Genomic DNA, 19,016 nt, shown 5'->3' on the forward strand with positions numbered 1-19,016 from the left:
GATTCTGGAAACAGCTCCCTGCCAGCTTTAAAGGAGGCTTAATTGTTCTGGGAGTTTTGCTGACATAATACAGCTTGGCTCACGGGTGGTTCTTGTCCTTAGGCTTAAAAGTAGAACAGGCATTAATAAATGCCACAAAATGTCTTTGGTTGTGTTCAGCCAGTTCTTTTCCAAGCAGAAAAAAAGCACTTAATTAAATTCAATCAATATTTTTCAAGGGCTTCTTATGGACAAGAAATTTTGCTGGACTCTGGGATATAAGTGAGGCAGACACACACAATGTACCTCTATTGCAAGGCAAAGTAAAAGAGAATGTATTGATACAACATGCTGGGTTATGCCACAGTAATGAAAATCTCAGAGGCTTATAACCACGCAGGTGTATTGCTCAGTTGTGCTGTATGTCCAGATGGATTGGCTATGGCTCTGCTCTTTGTCATTTCACTCTGAGACCCAAGCAAGTTGAAAAACCTCTATCTGGAAAATTTCTGGTGGTCATGGCAGAGAGAAAAGGCATGCTGGCCAACATGCAATCACTAAGACTTTGTTAAGAAGTGACACGTGCCACTAAAGATCACATTTTATTGGCCAGAGAAAATAGCATGATCAAGTTGGACATCAAAGGGGCAGGGAAGAATTAGGTTGAACCATATGAGATTGGCATTTTATGAAGTCAAAAGTGATTGAATATCTCAACTGTATTTGGCTTAACCTAATATAATTCTTCTATAGGGAAGGCAATGATGATTTGAATAATGTAAGTTACTCCATAGTGGTACCAACAAAATTGCAATAACAAAATCTTATTAAGATTTTCTTTAAATTCAGATGAAAATTTTATTCACTAATTCTGCATTTCACTTGAGATAGCCACAAACAACCAACCCTTCCATCTGCAGAAATGGGTAATAAAAGCACAGGTGTCACATTAACCTTTTTGGCTGAGATTAGGTGCCATTGGTTTTAGATTCCAGCTTTGAGGAGTCTGTCTCAATAAAAATGTGCCGTGTTCTTGATATGTGCCAGGCTCTGTGCAAGGTGCTGGGACAGACAGTGAAATGCACTGACAGACAAGGTCTGTCCTCAGGGGGCTGAGAGTCTAGTTCCTGCCCTGCTATCATGTACAGATAATCAGTAAATAGGTGCTGTGGGGGATGGGAGAGGTTGAGAGAGCTTAGGGTGCATTTCTAATGGAGCTCACATGATTGTCGGCCAAATTCATTTCTGTGAAGCTGCAGAACTCACAGCTGTTTGTTTCTTCAAGGCTAGCAGGAAAATCTCTCCAAGCTCAGGGCAGGCTTGAGCTCTCTTTTAAAGGCCTCACCTGAGTAAGCCAGGCCAACCTAGGCCACTCTCGCTTTTGATGAACTTGAAGGTAAACTGATTAGAGACTTAATCACAAAATCCCTCCATCTTTGGCATATGATGTAACCTGATCACAGAAGAGACATCCATCATATCCACAGGTCTGGCCCCTACTCAAGTGGACTGTGCAGGGCTCGGACACCAAGAGGGGGAATCTGGGACATGACCTTAGAATTCTGCCTGCCTCAGGGTTTCATTTTCAAAATTGTCACGGATCTTGTGGGTGTGTCTTCTTGTTGTTTCAATCCATGTTTACCTGATGTCATTGGTCATTTGCAGATCTTTTGTGAAGTCTTCTGCCCAGAATTTGTTCTTAGTGGATTGCTTGCCTTTTTGTTTTTGAGTCTTCTAACCTGAATATAAATTCTCAGTTGGATACAAGTGTTGTAACTATGTTCTCCCAGTCGATGGTTCCCCTTTTTGTTTTTGATAAACATAAATTCTTCATTTTAATTGTCATGTTTATCAGTCCTTTTTTTTGGTGGTTAGTGGTTTTGTGTCCTGTTTATGAATCTCTTGCTTAGTCCAAGGTCATAAAAATATTCTCCTGCCTGGACCCTTTCTCCTGGATCCTGCATTGCTTTTGTTTTCAAATGTAGGTCTATCATTCACTTTGAGTGAACTTTTATGACTTGTGTGTGTATGGGACCAAAGTTCATTTTGTTCTGTATATGACGAGTCAATTGATACGGTATCATTTACTGAAAAGACCATCCTCTCCCTATTGATTTGTGACTTTGACTTTGTTAAATCAGGTGACTGGAGGTAGGCTGGAATCTGGTTTGGCTTCTTCTATTGCACAAATCTATTTGTTCATCTGTACGCCAATGCCAGACTGTCCTCACTATTGTCCGACTATGCTGTGATATCTAAACAACATCTTCAGATTGAATCCTGGGCATTGCCATCTCTGTAGAGAGGCCTCACCCCACTCTCCCAGCCCTAAGCAACTAGGAATTTATTTTCTGTCTCTGTAAATTTTTCTGTTACACACATTTCTTGTGAATGAAATCATATAGTATGTTGTCTTTTGTACCTGGCTTCTTTCATTTCCAGCATGCTTTCAGGGTTCACCATGTTTGCAAGGCTGTTTCCTTGTGCAGGAAACAGAAGCACTGACCAGGAGGACTGGGGCAGGTGAAATTGGGAAAAAAGAAAGGGAGGGAATAACCTGTGTCCAGACACTAAAAGGACTTGCAGGATCTTTTAAAAGAGATGTATAGATGTAATAGGGAATTAGAAAGCATGGGAAAGCATCTGCTCTCTAAAATGTCAAAAAACCCACATAGATTTGGAACAAGCTTCTTGTATCATTTGGTGTGAAGCATGTGGTCCTCACTCAGCTATGTGGCTGACCCCCAGAAGGCAGTCACGGATGGAGCTTTTAAAGGAAGGGGAGAGGCCCATATGCTCAGCTCAGAGGCAGGAGAGGATGAGTTTGAAGTGCTTGAGGAACACGGAGTGACCCCAGGAAGGAGGTGGGCCATGTTAGGTGGGGCTGAGAGAGGAGCCCCAGCTTCAAGGAGAGCGTGTCCAGGCAGTAGCTTGAATGGCTACAGATGGAAAAGGATTTGGCTTTCTTTATGTTTTCTTCCTTTGATTTTTAACTGCCCATCCCCCCAGTATTAATGGTTAGTACAGAAAAGAAAAAGGAGAAATTATCACCCATCACCCCTCCACCCAGAATTAACCACAGTTAACACTGGGGCCCGGTTCCTTCCAGGCTGGAATCTCAGAATCGCTTTCTTAATCAGAGGCAATGGTCTGCACAGCTTTATATCCTGCAATTTCTTGCTTAGTGTAAAAGCATTACCCTGCGATCTGATTTCCTTTTGCATCTCAAACCCGGGAAGTTTGGCCATTAGCAAGGATTTCCTGAATTTCCTCGGAATCATCACAGAGGCTGGGCTTGGTCTTCCTGGAGCTTAGGGCTATTTCTCCCTCCCCTCCTTTCAAGCTGCAGGTCTTCGTGAGAAGAAGGCGGATGCAATAGCAAAGACTTAGCTTTCAGGCCTCCTTCCTCAAGGTGGTAATTGTTCCCTTTAAAGGAAGAGAGAATTAACTGAGTGCCAGCGCTGGATTAGGCCTGGGCATCCAGAAAGTGCCCACAAGAAGTGGAGGCCAGTGGGAGAGACACAAGTGCTACAAGGCGAGGTGACAGAGCTCTCCGAAGGATGGAGAAGGGGCTGTGGCGGCTGGCCCAGTGGAAAAGTACCTCGACCATGATTCATCAGGGTAATGCTCCGTTGGTGCCAGGCCATCACCCCGTCTGGGAGTGCAGACAGCTGACAGCTGAAAGTCACATCAAGAATGGAATCAATTCTACGGGAAGAAAGTAAATGAAAGTTAAGATAAAAATGCATTACTTCAGTGCTATACCTTCTGCTGCAAGCATCTGTTTAATACAAGCAACATGAGACTAGCGCCTGCTACGTGGCGGGCGCTGTCTGGGCATAGTGGGCAAGGCAGGCTCCTGTGCCAGGCAACTCCCAACCTGACTGAGGAAGACAATGTGGTGGCCCACCCGACACAGACTGGCTGATTAAATAAGGGTTATGAGTTAGACAAATAAAATACCTGGTGCTGCTGAATTTCACATCTCTAAGGACATTACTCTGGCTCTAGACCAACTGGGTGGCTTAAACGTGGATCCAGATAGTGTCAGTACACAGAAATTACCTGTGTGTGGTTCTCAGCCCTGCTGCTCATTGGAGTCCCTGGGAGCTCTTCAAATTAGAGACGCTAGGGATGCTCAGTCCCTGCCCCCTCCCCCTGAGTTTTTAAAAATAGCTTTATTGCGATACAATTCAAATAAAATACAATCTACCCATTTAAAGTATACATTTCAGTGGTTTTTAGTATATTCATGGATATGGACAACCATCAACAGCACAGTCAATTTTTTTTTTTTCTTTGAGATGGAGTCGCCCAGGCTGGAGTGCAATGGTGTGATTTTGGCTCACTGCAACCTCTGCCTCCCTGGTTCAAGTGATTCTCCTGCCTCAGCCTCTCGAGTAGCTTGGATTACAGGTGTGTGCCACCACGCCCGGCTAATTTTTGTATTTTTGGTAGAGATGGGGTGTCACCATGTTGGCCAGGCTGGTCTCGAACTCCTGACCTCAAGTGATCTGCCTGGTTTGGCCTCCCAAAGTGCTGGGATTACAGGCTTGAGCTACCGAGTCCAGCCAACACAGTCAATTTTAAAACATTTTCCTTATCTCAAAAAGAAACCCCATACTCTTCAGCTATTCTTTTTATTTTCTATTAAATTTTTTTTTTTTCTTTTTTTTTGTTGAGATGGAATCTGGCTCTGTCACCCAGGCTGGAGTTCAGTGGCGCAATCTCGGCTCACTGCAACCTCTGCCTCGTGGGTTTAAGCAATTCTTTTGCCTCAGCCTCTGGAATTACAGGCACGCGCCACCATGCCCTGCTAATTTTTGTATTTTTAGTAGAGACAGGGTTCCACCATGTTGGCCAGGCTGATCTGGAACTCCTGACCTCAAGTGATCTGCCCGCCTCGGCCTCCCAAAGTGCTGGGATTACAGGTGTGAGCCACCGCACCTGGCCAACTATTTTAAAAAATTTTAAGAGACTGAGTCTCACTCTGTCACCCAGTCTGGTGCAGTGGCACGATCATGGCTTCAGCCTTAAAGTCCTGGGCTCAAGCAATCCTCCCACCTCAGCCCCCCGAGTAGCTGGGAATACAAGTGTGCACAGTCACACTAAACTAAAAAAAAAAAAAAAAACTAATTTTATTTTATTTTATTTTATTTTTTATTTATTTATTTTTTGTAGGGATGGGTTTTTGCTATGTTGCCTAGGCTGGTCTCAAAGTCCTGGCCTCAAGCAATCCTCCTGCTTCATCCTCCCAAAGTGCTGTGATTACAGGCATGAGCCACTGTTCCCAGCCTCTCCCCACTCTTCTAGCCCTAAGCAAGCACAAATCTATTTTCTGTATCTGTAGATTTTCCTGTTATACACATTTCTTATGAATGAAATCATATAATATGTTGTCTTTTGTATCTGGCTTCTTTCATTTAGCCCCATGCTTTCAGGGTTCACCATGTTGTAGTGGGTATTTTATTCTTTTTTATGGCTGAATAGTATTTCATTTTATGGATATGCCATAATTTATCTGTTATCAGTTGATGGACATTTGGGTTGTTTCTACCTTTGGGCTGTTATGAATAGTGCTGCTATGAACATGTGTGTTCCAGTTTCTGTATGGACACATGTTTTCCTTTCTCTTGGGTAGCTACCTAGGAATGGAAATGCTGGATCATATATTCACTCTGTTTGAAGAACTGCCAGACTGTTTTCCAAAGCAGCTATACCATTTTACAATCCCACTAGCAGTGCATGAGGATTCTGATTTCTCCACATCCTTGCTGATACTTGTTATCATCTGACTTTTTGATTCTGGCTACCTTAGTGCCTATGAAGTAGTATCTCAATGTGGTTTTGATTTGTTGATTTGCTGATGACTAGAGATGCCAAGCATCTTCTCATGTGTTTATTTGTGCTCTTAGAGTTTTTAATTCAGTTGGTCTGGAATAGTTTTTTTTTTCCTTTTATTTTTTATTTTTTTGAGACAGAGTCTTGCTCTGTCACCAAGCTGGAGTGCAGTGGCGTGATCTTGGCTCACTGCAACCTCTGACTCCCTGGTTCGGGCTATTCTCCTGCCTCAGCCTCCCGAGTAACTGGGATTACAGGCACGCACCACCATGCCCAGCTAATTTTTGTATTTTTAGTAGAGCCAGGATTCCACCATGTTAGCCATGATGGTCTCGATCTCCTGAGCTCGTGATCTGTCCACCTTGGCTTCCCAAAGTGGTGGGATGACAGGCGTGAGCCATGGCGCCCGGCTTTTTTTTTCCTTTTAAAAAAGTGTTTGGCTGGGAGAAGTGGTTCACACCTGTAATCCCAACACTTTGGGAGGCCGAGGCAGGAGGATCACTTGAGCCCAGGACTTCAAGACCTGCCTGGGCAACATAGTAAGACCCCATCTCCAAAAAAAAAAAAAAAAAGTAAATTAGCCAGGCGTGGTGCTGCACACCTGTGGTCCCAGCTACTTGGGAGGCTGAGGTGGGAGGATCACCTGAGCCGAGGAGTATGAGGCTGCAGTGAGCCATGATCATGCCACTGGATTCCAGCCTGGGTGACAAAGTGAGACCCTGTCTCAGAAAAAAAAAAAAAGGCTGGGGGGCCTGGGCTAGGATTATGCCTGTAATCCTAGCACTTTTGCAGGTAGATTGCTTGAGCTCGGAGTTCGATACCAGCCTGGCAACATGGCAAAACCTGGTCTCTACAAAAAACATAAAAAATAGCTGGGCGTGGTCTGTAGCTGTAGTCCCAGCTACTCAGGTGGCTGAGGTAGGAGGATCACCTTAGCCCGAGGATGTTGAGGCCACAATAAGCTGTGGTCATACCACTGCACACCAGCCTGGACAACAGAATGAGACCCCATCTCAAAAAAAAAAGTTTTTTATTTTGAAATAATTTTAGGTTTAGAGAAAAGTTGAAAAATAGTAAAACAACAACAACAACAAAAAAACAACAAAAAATCCCAAAACCCCCAAAACTCTCATTGACCCTTATCTCAGATTTCCCGAATGCTTACCACCCTCGCTACATCATTCAAGTTCTTGGAAACATTTAAAGCATGTGAAACATTTAAAACATTTAAGTTGGAGGCTTTAAGTTGCACGTCCTTTATTTCTAAATATTTCAGTGTGTTTTTCTTAAAAAAAATTTTCTCATACCACAGTAACATGATCAAAATTGGAAAATCAACATTGATTCAATACTATGATCTACAATCAAGGTTTTTTTTTTTTTTCAAATCCCTGGGTCTCTGCATTTTTTAAAAGCTTCACAGATGATTTCAATGGATACTAGGGACCTCTGTTGCCTCCTCTGGCAGAGCAGGACTGAGGGGTGGACCCTCCCTGAGACCACCCAACAATTCAGGGTGGAGTTATCAGGGCGCCCTGACTCCTGGGGGCATTTTTGTGTGACGGGAAAAGACAATGCTCCTGGCTGAGTGAGATGGCAGCTGGCTTGGCAAGGGGACAGCACCTTTGTCACCACATTATGTCCCTGTACCCTACATGCTGCGCCTATACCCAGGACCGATGGTAACTGAGGCGGAGGGGAAAGGAGGGCCTGAGATGGCAAGTCTGTCCTCCTCGGTGGTTCCTGTGTCCTTCATTTCCACTCTGCGAGAGTCTGTGCTGGACCCTGGAGTTGGTGGAGAAGGAGCCAGTGACAAGCAGAGGAGCAAACTGTCTTTATCACACTCCATGATCCCAGCTGCTAAAATCCACACTGAGCTCTGCTTACCAGCCTTCTTCTCTCCTGCTGGAACCCAGAGGAGGTTCCAGCAGCCTCAGCACCACCTGACACTGGTAAGAAATGCAGATGATCAGGCCTTACCCCAGACCTATTGAATCAGAAATTCTGGAGTGGTGCCCTGCAGCTTGCATTTTAACCAGCCTTCAGGTGCTTCTGATGCATGCTCAGGTTTGAGCACCACTGGCCACAGGGAGGCCTAGGCAATTCAGCCTTCCTCTGGTTGAATAGCTGGAGAATTGGGAATATCAGTAAATACTTCCAATGCACCTGCTACATGCCAGAAAAAGGAAACAAGAAGACGCAGTAGGTCTGAGAAAGTGATGGGGTGAGCAGAAACCCAAAGCTTATAGAAGGCCATCTGAGTGGCCCCTCAAGCCGGTGAATTGGCTTTAGGGTTTACTGAAGGAGGTGGAAACCTCAGCCTGCTTCTCGTCCGGGTTGTTAGAGGAGTCATTTAGAAAGCTGTACCATTCTTTCAATATTCTCACGGCTTTCCAGTGCTCATTTTTCCTGCTCATTTATGGATTAAAAAAAATGCCTTGGCTGTATGTGTAAGAAAACAACAATGCAAGTTTGTAGAGAAAGAATCTGGGCCTTACAGGTCACGTTGGTTTAAAATTTAGACATCAAGCAGCTTAGAGACCATGTTGCCAAATAAGCTTAGTAAATGCTTTCTAATGCTTACGGAACTGTGGCGCTTTGTGCTTGCCATAGTATATATAATTAGACAAATGAGAGAACACAAAGGTTGAACCCCTTCCCTCTCTTAATTTTTGTTTTTTACAAGCAGATTTAAAATTCTGGCTCATAATGTCCTTGATTCAATGTTAAACCATTTTGCCTAAATGGCAGCATGTTCTAAATGTGAGCGCGCTCAGCTTTTCAAGCTGCTCCCGAGTGACAGAAATTGACAAGCTGTCATTCAAGACCTTTCGGTGGCTGCCTGGGGCTCTGTTTGAATTGTATCTGTCTGATACTTTACCATGGAGAGTGAAAAATTTGATCACATGCCATGCTTTTAATTTTCTAAAGCAAATATGTTGGAAGGAGCCAATTAATGCAAAGATGGACTGCTGGTCTCATGCAACTGATTTAGGGGAAGGGTTCGCCTAAATTAATAAAAGATCTGAATTATAGATCTTAACAAATACATAGAATGTAAAGGCTTAAAAGGAAACTGAGCAGCAGCAGGCCTGGGGTTGGCTTTTAAGTATCTATATTTAACTAATAGACATGAATGTTTTGATTTGATATTAGAAATGCTAGTGCTGGAGTCTCTGAGCCTACTCTGGCTCGAGAGGATGCCCTATCTAAAAAACAAAAAACAAAAAAAAAAAAGAAAAAAGAAAAAAAGAAATGCTGGTATTGTAATTCTAAAGTGCTTCAGAAATTCTCAAAAATAGGCCAGGCATGGTGGCTCATGGCTGTATACCAGCACTTTGGGAGGCCAAGGTGGGCAAATCACTTGCAGTCAGGAGTTTGAGACCAGCCTGGTCAACATGGTGAAACCCCATCTCTACTAAAAATACAGAAATTAGCCAGGCATGGTGGCAGCACCTGTAATCCCAGCTACTTGGGAGGCTGAGGCAGGAGAATCGCTAGAACCTGGGAGGTGGAGGTTGCAGTGAGCCAAGACCGCACCACTGCACTCCAGCCTGGGCAACAGAGTGAGACTCTATCTCAAAAAAAAAAAAAAAAAGTTCTCAAAAGTATTTTGAACTTCCTCACCTTTGTCCTATTTTGGAAGGAGGGGGTCTACATTGAAGAGATCATACAGAAATAAATTAATTGTTACAAAAGGAATGGAATGTCTATACTTCTTACCCTATTGAGTTACATTAACTGCATCTTCAACTTAATTTAAAGTGCTCCTCAACCTAAAATATCGTCATGTGTCTTTAAAAATGCATATTACTAAATCTATTTTTTTTTCAGTCTATCATCCACACTGCAGCAAGGTGATTCTGCCAAAACATATCTCCTTAAAAGCCAACTGGAGCTTCTCATCAGCATCAATGTGAAGCCAAAAATCCTTAGGAGGACAGAGGGAGTCCCTCACAACCTAGACTGGTCCCCTTCCCTCCAGCTGCCTCAACTGTCCACAGGACTCTCTTCCCACCTGCGGCCACACTGTGCAACCTGGAATTTCCCCACCTGGGCGGACTCATCACGTCATCACCAATTGGATGCATCTTCTGCTCTGTGCAGCTGGTGAAATCTTTCTCAACCCTTGAGATGCAGCCCAATCTTCTCCTAACATCTGGATTCCTCTCTGTCACTGCATTCCCTCCTGTCATCCTGCCTTTGTTTTCTTGCCCTCCTTTCTCTCCCGGGTGATAGGCATTAACTAAAATTAAATAAAAATTCAGATCATCCTTGCACTTGCTGCATTTCAAATGCTTGGCAGTCACATGTAGTTAGTGGCTACCCTCTTGGACAGCACAGATAGAGATTATTTCCATCACTGCAGAAAATTCTAGACTTTGAGCTTCTTGAGGACAGGGGCTTGATCATTCGACACTGCTTTACAGTGTCTAGCAGTGTCTACCCTGTGGCAGGGGCTCAGGAAATTTTTCCTGAACCGAACCTAACTGAACTGATGTGGGTTTGTCATCAGGGTGTACCTGCTGTTAAAGGAGGTTACGACCTCTGATGCTGGGGTGGCCAGAGGGGATGGGAGTGGGTCTGGCACTCTGAGGAAAGGGGGTGAAACCAGCTGAGAAGTCATCTTTTACCTGCTGGCATGGCCCCAGCCAGGGTTCTGTTGCTATGGGAGAATGGGTGAGTAGGGATGGATTACACCACCCTGGATCTAGAGGACAACCTGGCTTGAGGGGCATGGGGGACGCTGGAAGTCAGGGTAAGAAGCTTGGACTTCATTCTACTGGCATGGAGAGCCCCTGGAAACTACTGAGCAGTAGAGGGATAGGCTAAGCTTATAGGAGGAGCCAAAATTATTACTGTAGCTCCTTAGATCTTAGATCCTGTGACTTAGGAAAGGCAATAGGAGCCCCTGAGCATTCTGGGTCCTTTGTACATTTGGGAGAACAGAGGCCCGGAGTGGGAAATCGTCCTCCTGGGCAGCACAAACATGGCTGCTCCATTCCTATTCAGAAGCCTCGTTTCCTGATTAAGGCTCTGGCATCTGTGGTGTTTCATTGTTCATTATTCATGAATAGACTTGGCCCTGTTCAAAACTAAAGCTTCAATGCTGCAAATGAGGGCTGCAGAGAGGATGTTGGGGAACTCGTCTGTTTGGCTTCAAAACTGCCCCCTTTCCTCTGGAAAAATCCTCTCTAGAATACCGTGCCAAGGCCTGGTGAGTGAGAAATGAGTTTTCATGATGTATCAAAAGAAAAATGCTTCTTTTAAGAAAACGTCTTTATAAATGGCAGCAGATGGGGAAGAATCTAAAAGAAAGAGCAACGCTTGCAGGTTGAAAGCATTACCTCCAGATATGGAGACGTTAGGACTAAGGGAAGGTCAGAGATGGGCCCACGAGGCCAGGTTTCAATGGACTTACCATTTCCTTCTTCGTGCATCCACTGATGGACACACGTAGGCACACGCACCAACAGCCTCCCATGTGGACAGTCCAGGGTGCCCAGAACCCTTCCAGCAAGACTTTGATTTCTGTTTCGAAGGATTTCTTGAGGCCCCTCTGTAGAGCTGCTTGTCTTCTTCATAACCGGTGCCTGGGTCAGAGCAGGTGGGGTGAGCTGCACTCACAGCTGGGAGGTGAGTCTGTGATCTCATTGTGCAGTGGCCCTGCCAGGTTGCTCTTTCTAAAACCTTGGGTATTGCAAATTCTGCTTCTTAGGGACCGCTTGGTCCCCCAGTCCTCCCCCTGCTGACTCCCTTCCTGATGAAGCCACCAGCATGGCTCTCAGGGTAGTGCTGTCTTCCTTCTCTAGAACAGCCACGTGGCCCCAGGGCTGGCACTTACTGGTCACCGTGGTTACAGACGCCTCTTCTAGGCTGTGAACTGTCACAGGAGTGGGTCCACTTCGGCCGACACTTCCTCAGGGGTATTAAGTAGCTGGGGGTCCCCCTGAGTCTCCATCACCCTCTTACCCATTCTCCACCCCCTCCCCCACCACACATACACTCTACTCCCCCAGTGCTGAATAACTTGCCAAAGCACTGTGCTGGCACTGGGGCATGGTAAAGAAGACGGGGCCTCTGCCCTAGGGAGGAGGTGATGAGGGCAGGAATAGCAGCACAGAGGGTGAGAGGCAGAGACAATGGCACTGAGTGGGGGCACGAGGATGGAAGAGGAGCATGCTAGATGGGACGATGGGACCCAGCACTGACCAAATAGAAGCTTGTGGGTGGCACATCAGTCACTCCAGGGACATATGTGGTCACTGCCATTTTCCTAATGAAACTCCTCCAGTTATTAAACAAAGGCCCAGAGTCACAGACTTAAGGACCAGAAGTGGGATTTGAACCCAAGTCCCCCAGATGACAGGGCTCCCACGTGCTTCTCTAGGTCACATGAGCCCACGCTGGAGGGGAGGAGGGGTGTTTCAAGAAGAGGGGAGATGTGGGCAAAGAAAGGCACAGAGACCGTAAGCAGACAGGTGTGTTCCAGAAAATGCAAGTTATTTGGCACTGGGGGAGCAGAATGTATATGTGGTGGGGGAGGGGTGGAAAATGGGTGAGAGGGTGGTGGAGACTCAGTGGGATCCCCAGCTACTTAATTCCCCAACAGGGAAAGAGCCTAGAAACTCCCTCCACCTCCCGCAAAGCAGTGGGGAAGTTGCGGCCACACTGTTTTCGGTCCGCTCATTCCCTCTGCAGTCTGGCTGCTCAGGGGGATGGAGGAGGATGGGGCTTGCAGGCAGGCACAGCCGGTTTGGAAGGTGTCCTGGCTCCAGCACTCAACTTGTGGCATGACACTCAGGGGAGTCACCCTTTCTGGCCCTCAGTTTTCTCCTCTGTAAAATAAGGAAATTCGACAAAAATAAGTTATCACCAATTTATTCACCACCACGTGTCCTTTTAATTCCATCTGCCCCAGGACTGCAGTGGGGAGTCTTTCTTTGCCGATGGACTTCGAAAATCATCACCCCCCGCATTTTTTGTGGTTAACCACAGCTAGCCAGGAACTCAGGGCTTCTCATCAGCAGAGGCCTCTGCCTCTCCAGTATCCAGGGCCGAATGGATTTTGGGTCAAGGCCTCCCTCCCGCAGCCAGGAGGCCCTGGCTTTATGGAATATCGCTTGGAGTCCAGGGAGTCAGCATGGGGACCCCGACAGCTTTCCCATGCCCCAGGCTCCTGGGCCTTTCTGGGGGACCCCTCTGGACCTTGGGCATTAACAAGGTTCATATTTGGAAGGTGCTTTGAGGGGGCTTATAGGTATTTGGAGTTTACTTTTTAAACTATTTGTATTGGAAAAATAACGTGTGCACAAGGGAACAACCCAAATACAGAAGAATATTAAAATCCCCAAGCCCCCAGCCCCCTCCCATGCTACTCTATCCCAAAGTCAGCTCTGCCGGCTCACCCAACCCTGGGTGCCTCTGCCCAGGGTGGGGGTGGAGGTTTGAGGGTTCGGGATGAGGGCTGGACGAAGGGCCTCCTCTCAGGTCCTTGGACACGAGCTGTGCCCATCTGCTCAGTGTGGACCCAGGACTACTGCCCACAGGCCTGGTGCTGCCTGGGCACCCAGACCCACCTCCAGGGTCGCCCTCAGCCCTCCTGATGACTCTCGGACTCGCATCTGTCCCAACGGATGCACCAAAGATTCTCCAGTGGGAAATCAAATTTTTGATAACAAGTGTTTTGAAATAATCACGCACTTGGTGAAAAATCAAAAGAGGGGAAAACCCCTTTCCCATCTGAGACCGCTCCACCCTCGCCAGTTACGAGCTGCCGAGCCGCTTCCTAGGCTCTCTGCGAATACGGACACGCATGCCACCCACAACAACTTTTTAAAAGAATCAGACGTGTGAAGGATTCTATTCGAATTACTTCTGCTCTCTGCTTTTATCACTTCACTGTGGGTCTGGGCGCGGGCTTTCTGCCAGCTCCGCGGACGCTGCCTTCGTCCGGCCGCAGAGGCCCCGCGGTCAGGGTCCCGCGTGCGGGGTACCGGGGGCAGAACCAGCGCGTGACCGGGGTCCGCGGTGCCGCAACGCCCCGGGTCTGCGCAGAGGCCCCTGCAGTCCCTGCCCGGCCCAGTCCGAGCTTCCCGGGCGGGCCCCCAGTCCGGCGATTTGCAGGAACTTTCCCCGGCGCTCCCACGCGAAGCCGCCGCAGGGCCCCCTTGCAAAGTTCCATTAGTTTGAAGGACGCGAATCTCAGCGAGAGAACCTGCGGAAAGCGAATATGTGGGGCGCGCAGACGGGGAAACTGAGTCCCGCGAGAGGGCCGGCCTGTGCGCTGCCCCGCCCGCGCCCCGCCAGCACCGCCGTGCCCGGGCGCGCCCGCCCTGCCCCCTCCGCGGGCGGTCCCGGTCCAGCCGCCCGCCCTCCCTCCCGCCATCCGGCCAGCCCCCATCCCGGGCGCCGTGCCCGTCCCCAAGGCGGCTCGTCACCGCTGCGAGGCCAATGGGCTGGGCCGCGCGGCCGCGCGCACTCGCACCCGCTGCCCCCGAGGCCCTCCTGCACTCTCCCCGGCGCCGCTCTCCGGCCCTCGCCCTGTCCGCCGCCACCGCCGCCGCCGCCAGAGTCGCCATGCAGATCCCGCGCGCCGCTCTTCTCCCGCTGCTGCTGCTGCTGCTGGCGGCGCCCGCCTCGGCGCAGCTGTCCCGGGCCGGCCGCTCGGCGCCTTTGGCCGCCGGGTGCCCAGACCGCTGCGAGCCGGCGCGCTGCCCGCCGCAGCCGGAGCACTGCGAGGGCGGCCGGGCCCGGGACGCGTGCGGCTGCTGCGAGGTGTGCGGCGCGCCCGAGGGCGCCGCGTGCGGCCTGCAGGAGGGCCCGTGCGGCGAGGGGCTGCAGTGCGTGGTGCCCTTCGGGGTGCCAGCCTCGGCCACGGTGCGGCGGCGCGCGCAGGCCGGCCTCTGTGTGTGCGCCAGCAGCGAGCCGGTGTGCGGCAGCGACGCCAACACCTACGCCAACCTGTGCCAGCTGCGCGCCGCCAGCCGCCGCTCCGAGAGGCTGCACCGGCCGCCGGTCATCGTCCTGCAGCGCGGAGCCTGCGGCCAAGGTACTCCGCCGCGCTCCTGGGCAGCTCCCCACTCTCTCCATCCCAGCTCGGACCTGCTTCTGCGGGACTGGTGGGCAGGTTGAGGGGCAGCGAAGCGTTGTGGGGTGGCCAGGGCAACTCTCGGGGACAGGCAGGTGGGCCCCGGGGTGGCGGATTTCCGCGGGCTGCCTCGGAACCGAGCTTCGCGCCCAGCCCGGGGCCGGTTCTGCGCCCAGACGATGCCAGTACGCCCGGCCTGCACTCTGGGGCTCGAGACGCCGGGCGACCGGCCATGGAGTGCCCTGAGGGCAACCACACAGCGCGGGGACCCCAGGACAAATAAGAGGAATGGGGGCATAAAGGAAGGAGAGAAGTTCAGGACTGGGAATTGGCGCCTCGCAGAGCGGCTTCAGGACCACAAGAAGTCATTTCGGTTGCTTTTTCTTCTATTTACGTCCTCCGTCCCCTTTAAAATTCACTGCTTTGATCACGGGACCGCTCAGTGAAAACTGTATGTAACTCTTTTGGAAAGGAACAGTGTTTGCCGGCCCGCCCCGGAGTTTCTCCAAAAAGTCTACCCCGAGCAGGGAACGGTTTGGCACCGCTCTCGTTTCGGCGGCGTTGCTGCCTGTCTTGCTTTCCTCGTTTTGAGCCAGCCCTACAAAAATGAAAGTGGCTCCTTTTGAATAAGCTGAATCGGGCTTTGGATCACGAAATCTGCAGAGGCGGAGAAGGGACCGGGTTAGTGATGAGGAAGAAGTCTACCCCTCTGTTCCTACAGCCGCACACAGGACCTGTTCTGGCAGGGGAGACGGTGGTGATGGGGGAAGGAGTGGAATGGAGCAATGTCTAACTCTCTCGCGGGACCTTCCGGAGAGATGCTCCTCATCTTCAGGCAGAGGCCATGTGGAAAAATAATATCGAGTTCAGCAGCGGCCAGCCCCGCGTTGTAGGAACCAGACAGCGGGGCTTGGCAGTGCGCTTGGGCGCAGCCGTGCCGCTGCTGCCGGACCCCAGTGCTGCCTCCTCAACACGGGCAGTGCCAGGAGAGGGGCATAGGGGAGCACAGTGCAGAGGGACTGGTCTAGAGTTTACTTTATAGGAATATGGTTCGGTGTGACCAACTAGGGCTTAGCATAGTTTGGCTTACGTGGACGGGAAGATGCCAGAGCCGAACTGGGTGAAATTCGAGATTGCGTATTTCACCAACACAGGAGCACAGCCCTCGGGAAACTCAGCCTAGTCAGGCAGTAGAGAGTTGTCCCGGAGAGAAGTGATCCTGCAGACTCGAGAAGGGGCATGATGATAGCACACGTCTGTTGAGCACCCAGTCTGTGTGCCGGGTGTGTTACCTCTGTGACCTCATTTGGTCAAACGAGGAGGCAGTTGCTCCTCTCTCTCTCTTTTTTTTTCTTAAGAGACAGGGTCTCCCTCTGTCGCCCATGCTGGAGTGTAGTGGTGTGATCATGGCTCACTGCAGCCTCCGACCCCTGGGCTCAATGATTCTCCTGCTTCAGCCTCCCAAGTGGCTGGGACTACAGGCGGATGCCACCACACCCAGCTTCTCATTCCCGTTTTACAGATAGCGGAGCTAAGGTTGAAAAACTTGCCCAAGGTCATTCAGCTGGAATTTAAACCCAGACAGCCTCATTCAGAGGAGTCAGCCCAGCACTTAACTCCAAGGGTGTGGGAGAGGGGTCAGGTGCTGTAAATTTCCTGGTGGGCTGGACGTGCATCCCCCTCAGAGCTGGGAACAGCATACACAAAGCCTAAGACTTGTTTGGAGGTGAATAGATCAGTGTGGCTGGGGAACGTTTTGGGAGGGCAGCAGGAGTGAGCCAGGCTGGTGGCCCAGAGTCCCAGGGCTGAAGAGGCTGGCTGTGCCCCGTGCCCTGTGCGCAGATGTTCTTGAACTGGAGCAACTCAAAGCCTAGTGTAGTGTAGGGCTGACCTAGCAGTGGAGTGCGGAATGCATCCAGGGTGGAGAGTTTAGACTACTGCAATAATCTGGGTGTGAGGCGACAACATTGAAAAAGCATGTTTTTGTCCAAAACAAGCCAGCTGTTACTGGTCTCGCTGTTTGTGGTCTCATCGCACGGGGTCCTGAGTTGCTGGCACCATGCGAGCCGCCTAATTTATTGCTAGTGAGGCAAGTTGCTTAACAAGTTTTGGAGTTGGCTGAGTCCCTGTGTGGAGGAAAACAGGTCCCCCATTGGCCATCGGGCTCACAGCGGGCCCCCGGTGTACCAGTGAGGGGACAGCCACAGAGGGATAAGCATGGTGGCTTTGAAAGGAGGGAGAGACAGAGTGGGTACAATGCTTTTCTTATCCCTCCCTCCTTCTTTTGCAAATATTTATTGAGCTCTGTAGGGTGTCTGACACCGTTTGCATGTTTGTCTGTCTGGCACATCGGAGGTACTTGGTACGAGTGGATTAGTGAATGAATAAATGAATGAATGAAGACAAACGGGAGGTGCTTGCGATACACAGCCATTCTGTTTTTCCTTAGTGGAAGGCACTGCTTTGCTGCGCCCCCTCTCTGGATCTCACACTCCACCCTTGACTTTTCGGAGGTGTTTCCGAGGACAGGCGCCTGGGAGCCAGCAGACTTCATTCAGTCCAAGCCAGGCTCCAGGACTCAACAGCTGGTGCCCACGGGCAGGTCACTTGACGTCACTGTTAAATGAGGTGAATTGGCTGCCTGCTCTGGCTGGAAGATTGGCGGGAGAGTCACTTTAGCTGCCATGGACATGAGCCTTTTCTAGGGGTGCCACTTGACTAGAGGCCTGGAGTTGGAGCAAGTCATACACGGATCTGGAGACAGAGCTCTCGAGGCAGGAGCGGGTGCTGCGATTTCAAATATTATAAGGTGGCTTTGTCTGGGGCAGAGCATGCCAGGGGATGAGAGGTAGAAATGTCATCAGATCAGGGGTCCCCAGGGAGGTGACTAGCACTTTGGGTCACAGTAGATCTTTGGATAGAGGAACATGTCACCATTCAAAGGAAAGCACTTTCATCTGTAAGCTGTTTATTGAATAGACCTCAGAGAACATCTCTGCTCACCGCTCTGGAAATGAAGGCAAATCATCTATTTCAGAAGTCAATGCACTGGCAGGGTTTGGATGGGAAAGTATACAATTCAGCTAGAGAACAAAGATCTGTCATCTCCAGCTGTACTGGTCAGATGATTACAAAAAAGAAAGGAATTGAAATACTAATAGGGTACTAATAATGAGGGCTAACATATATGTTGTGCTTATTCTATGCCGGGTGCATACTAATTCATTTGATCCTCCGGACAGTCCTATGAGTGAGTGCTGTAGTCTTCCCTGGGTTACAGCTGGGCAGCTAAGTCACAGAGAAGTACCTTGCTCAGGACTGGTGGTCCCACACAACTGGATGGAGAGCCTCGTTCATAACCACCATGCTGTGCTGTTGACAGAGCAACAGAGATTTTAAACCAACCCCAGCTAAGCCCCAGCTAATAGCTGAAATAAACAGGGCTCCAGATGGCTGTGGCTTAGAGATGGAACAGGACAGATCACAGCCTTCACTCTGCAGGCTCAGGAGCCTGAAGACAAGGTTGCCTCCAGTTGCCGTCAGTGCAGCCCTCACTAAAGAAAAGCAAAAAGAGCCGAGGGACTGTAGGAAGGCTGTTTCCAAGCCAGAGATCCAGACAAACTGCTCTTGAAGAGAGAAAGCCCTTCCAGATTCCCCCATGTCCCAAAAGACCAGCCGGGATTCCGGACCTCTGCTAAAACATGGACAAGAAGCCAGGAACGAGACCTGAAACAGACTTCCCAAACAGCAGAAGCCTCATCCATTTCTCCTGCTAGTACATCCTCCAGGAAAGCCCACCCTACTCCATGCAGCAGCCCAGACAAGCTTGGAGGTCTGCAAGCTGCAGGGGTGCCCAGAAACTCCACCCCTGGAGGTTTTTAGGATCGCCTGCTCCTGGTCTCACCCCAGAGCCTCTAAAGGCAGAGGCTGTATGTACATACCTGGTGAAGAACCAAGGGCTTAGATGGTTGCTTTACTTCTTGGAGCCCTGGAATGTTTGTAAAATTTACTTTTTTTTTTGAGACAGTGTCTCGTTCTGTCGCCTACGCTGGAGTGCAGTGGCGCGATCTCGGCTCACTGCAAGCTCCACCTCCCGGGTTCATGC

General features: G+C 49.6%; 2 protein-coding genes and 1 long non-coding RNA gene across 6 annotated transcripts in view; 2 read left to right on the top strand and 1 right to left on the bottom strand.

The window, feature by feature from the left end:
* Nucleotides 1-806: 806 nt before the first annotated feature.
* On the bottom strand, nucleotides 807-14,153 carry HTRA1-AS1 (HTRA1 and ARMS2 antisense RNA 1). Of its 4 annotated transcripts, none has more exons than XR_946384.3 (4): nucleotides 13,697-14,131; nucleotides 11,666-12,659; nucleotides 11,243-11,414; nucleotides 807-3,687 (listed from the first exon to the last, which is right to left on the bottom strand). It is a non-coding gene; the product is annotated as an HTRA1 and ARMS2 antisense RNA 1 (long non-coding RNA). The 4 variants fall into 4 exon arrangements; XR_946383.3 differs by having other exon boundaries at nucleotides 807-3,405; nucleotides 3,581-3,687; nucleotides 11,243-12,659; XR_946382.3 differs by having other exon boundaries at nucleotides 11,243-12,659; nucleotides 13,697-14,153.
* Nucleotides 7,401-10,100, top strand: ARMS2 (age-related maculopathy susceptibility 2). The gene is made up of 2 exons (NM_001099667.3): nucleotides 7,401-7,772; nucleotides 9,655-10,100. Exons 1-2 carry the CDS (start codon nucleotides 7,476-7,478, stop codon nucleotides 9,679-9,681), a joined length of 324 nt encoding a protein of 107 aa, NP_001093137.1. The 5' UTR covers nucleotides 7,401-7,475; the 3' UTR covers nucleotides 9,682-10,100.
* HTRA1 (HtrA serine peptidase 1) overlaps nucleotides 14,301-19,016 on the top strand; it is a 53,355-nt gene continuing 48,639 nt past the window's right edge. Inside the window, exon 1 of the mRNA NM_002775.5 lies at nucleotides 14,301-14,872. Within this exon, the coding sequence (NP_002766.1) occupies nucleotides 14,401-14,872 (472 nt within the window). The 5' untranslated portion in view covers nucleotides 14,301-14,400. The remainder of the gene's footprint in view (nucleotides 14,873-19,016) is intronic.

The sequence above is a fragment of the Homo sapiens genome, chromosome 10 (genome assembly GCF_000001405.40).
Source record: "Homo sapiens chromosome 10, GRCh38.p14 Primary Assembly".
Taxonomy (NCBI): domain Eukaryota; kingdom Metazoa; phylum Chordata; class Mammalia; order Primates; family Hominidae; genus Homo; species Homo sapiens.

What these genes read in the sequence shown, in the direction of transcription:
- ARMS2 (NM_001099667.3), top strand. Translation starts at nt 7,476, where the DNA reads ATGCTGCGCCTATACCCAGGACCGATGGTAACTGAGGCGGAGGGGAAA. An exon ending in CTCAGCACCACCTGACACTG is followed by an intron (nt 7,773 to 9,654) that starts GTAAGAAATGCA and finishes TTTTTTTTTCAG; the next exon opens with TCTATCATCCACACTGCAGC.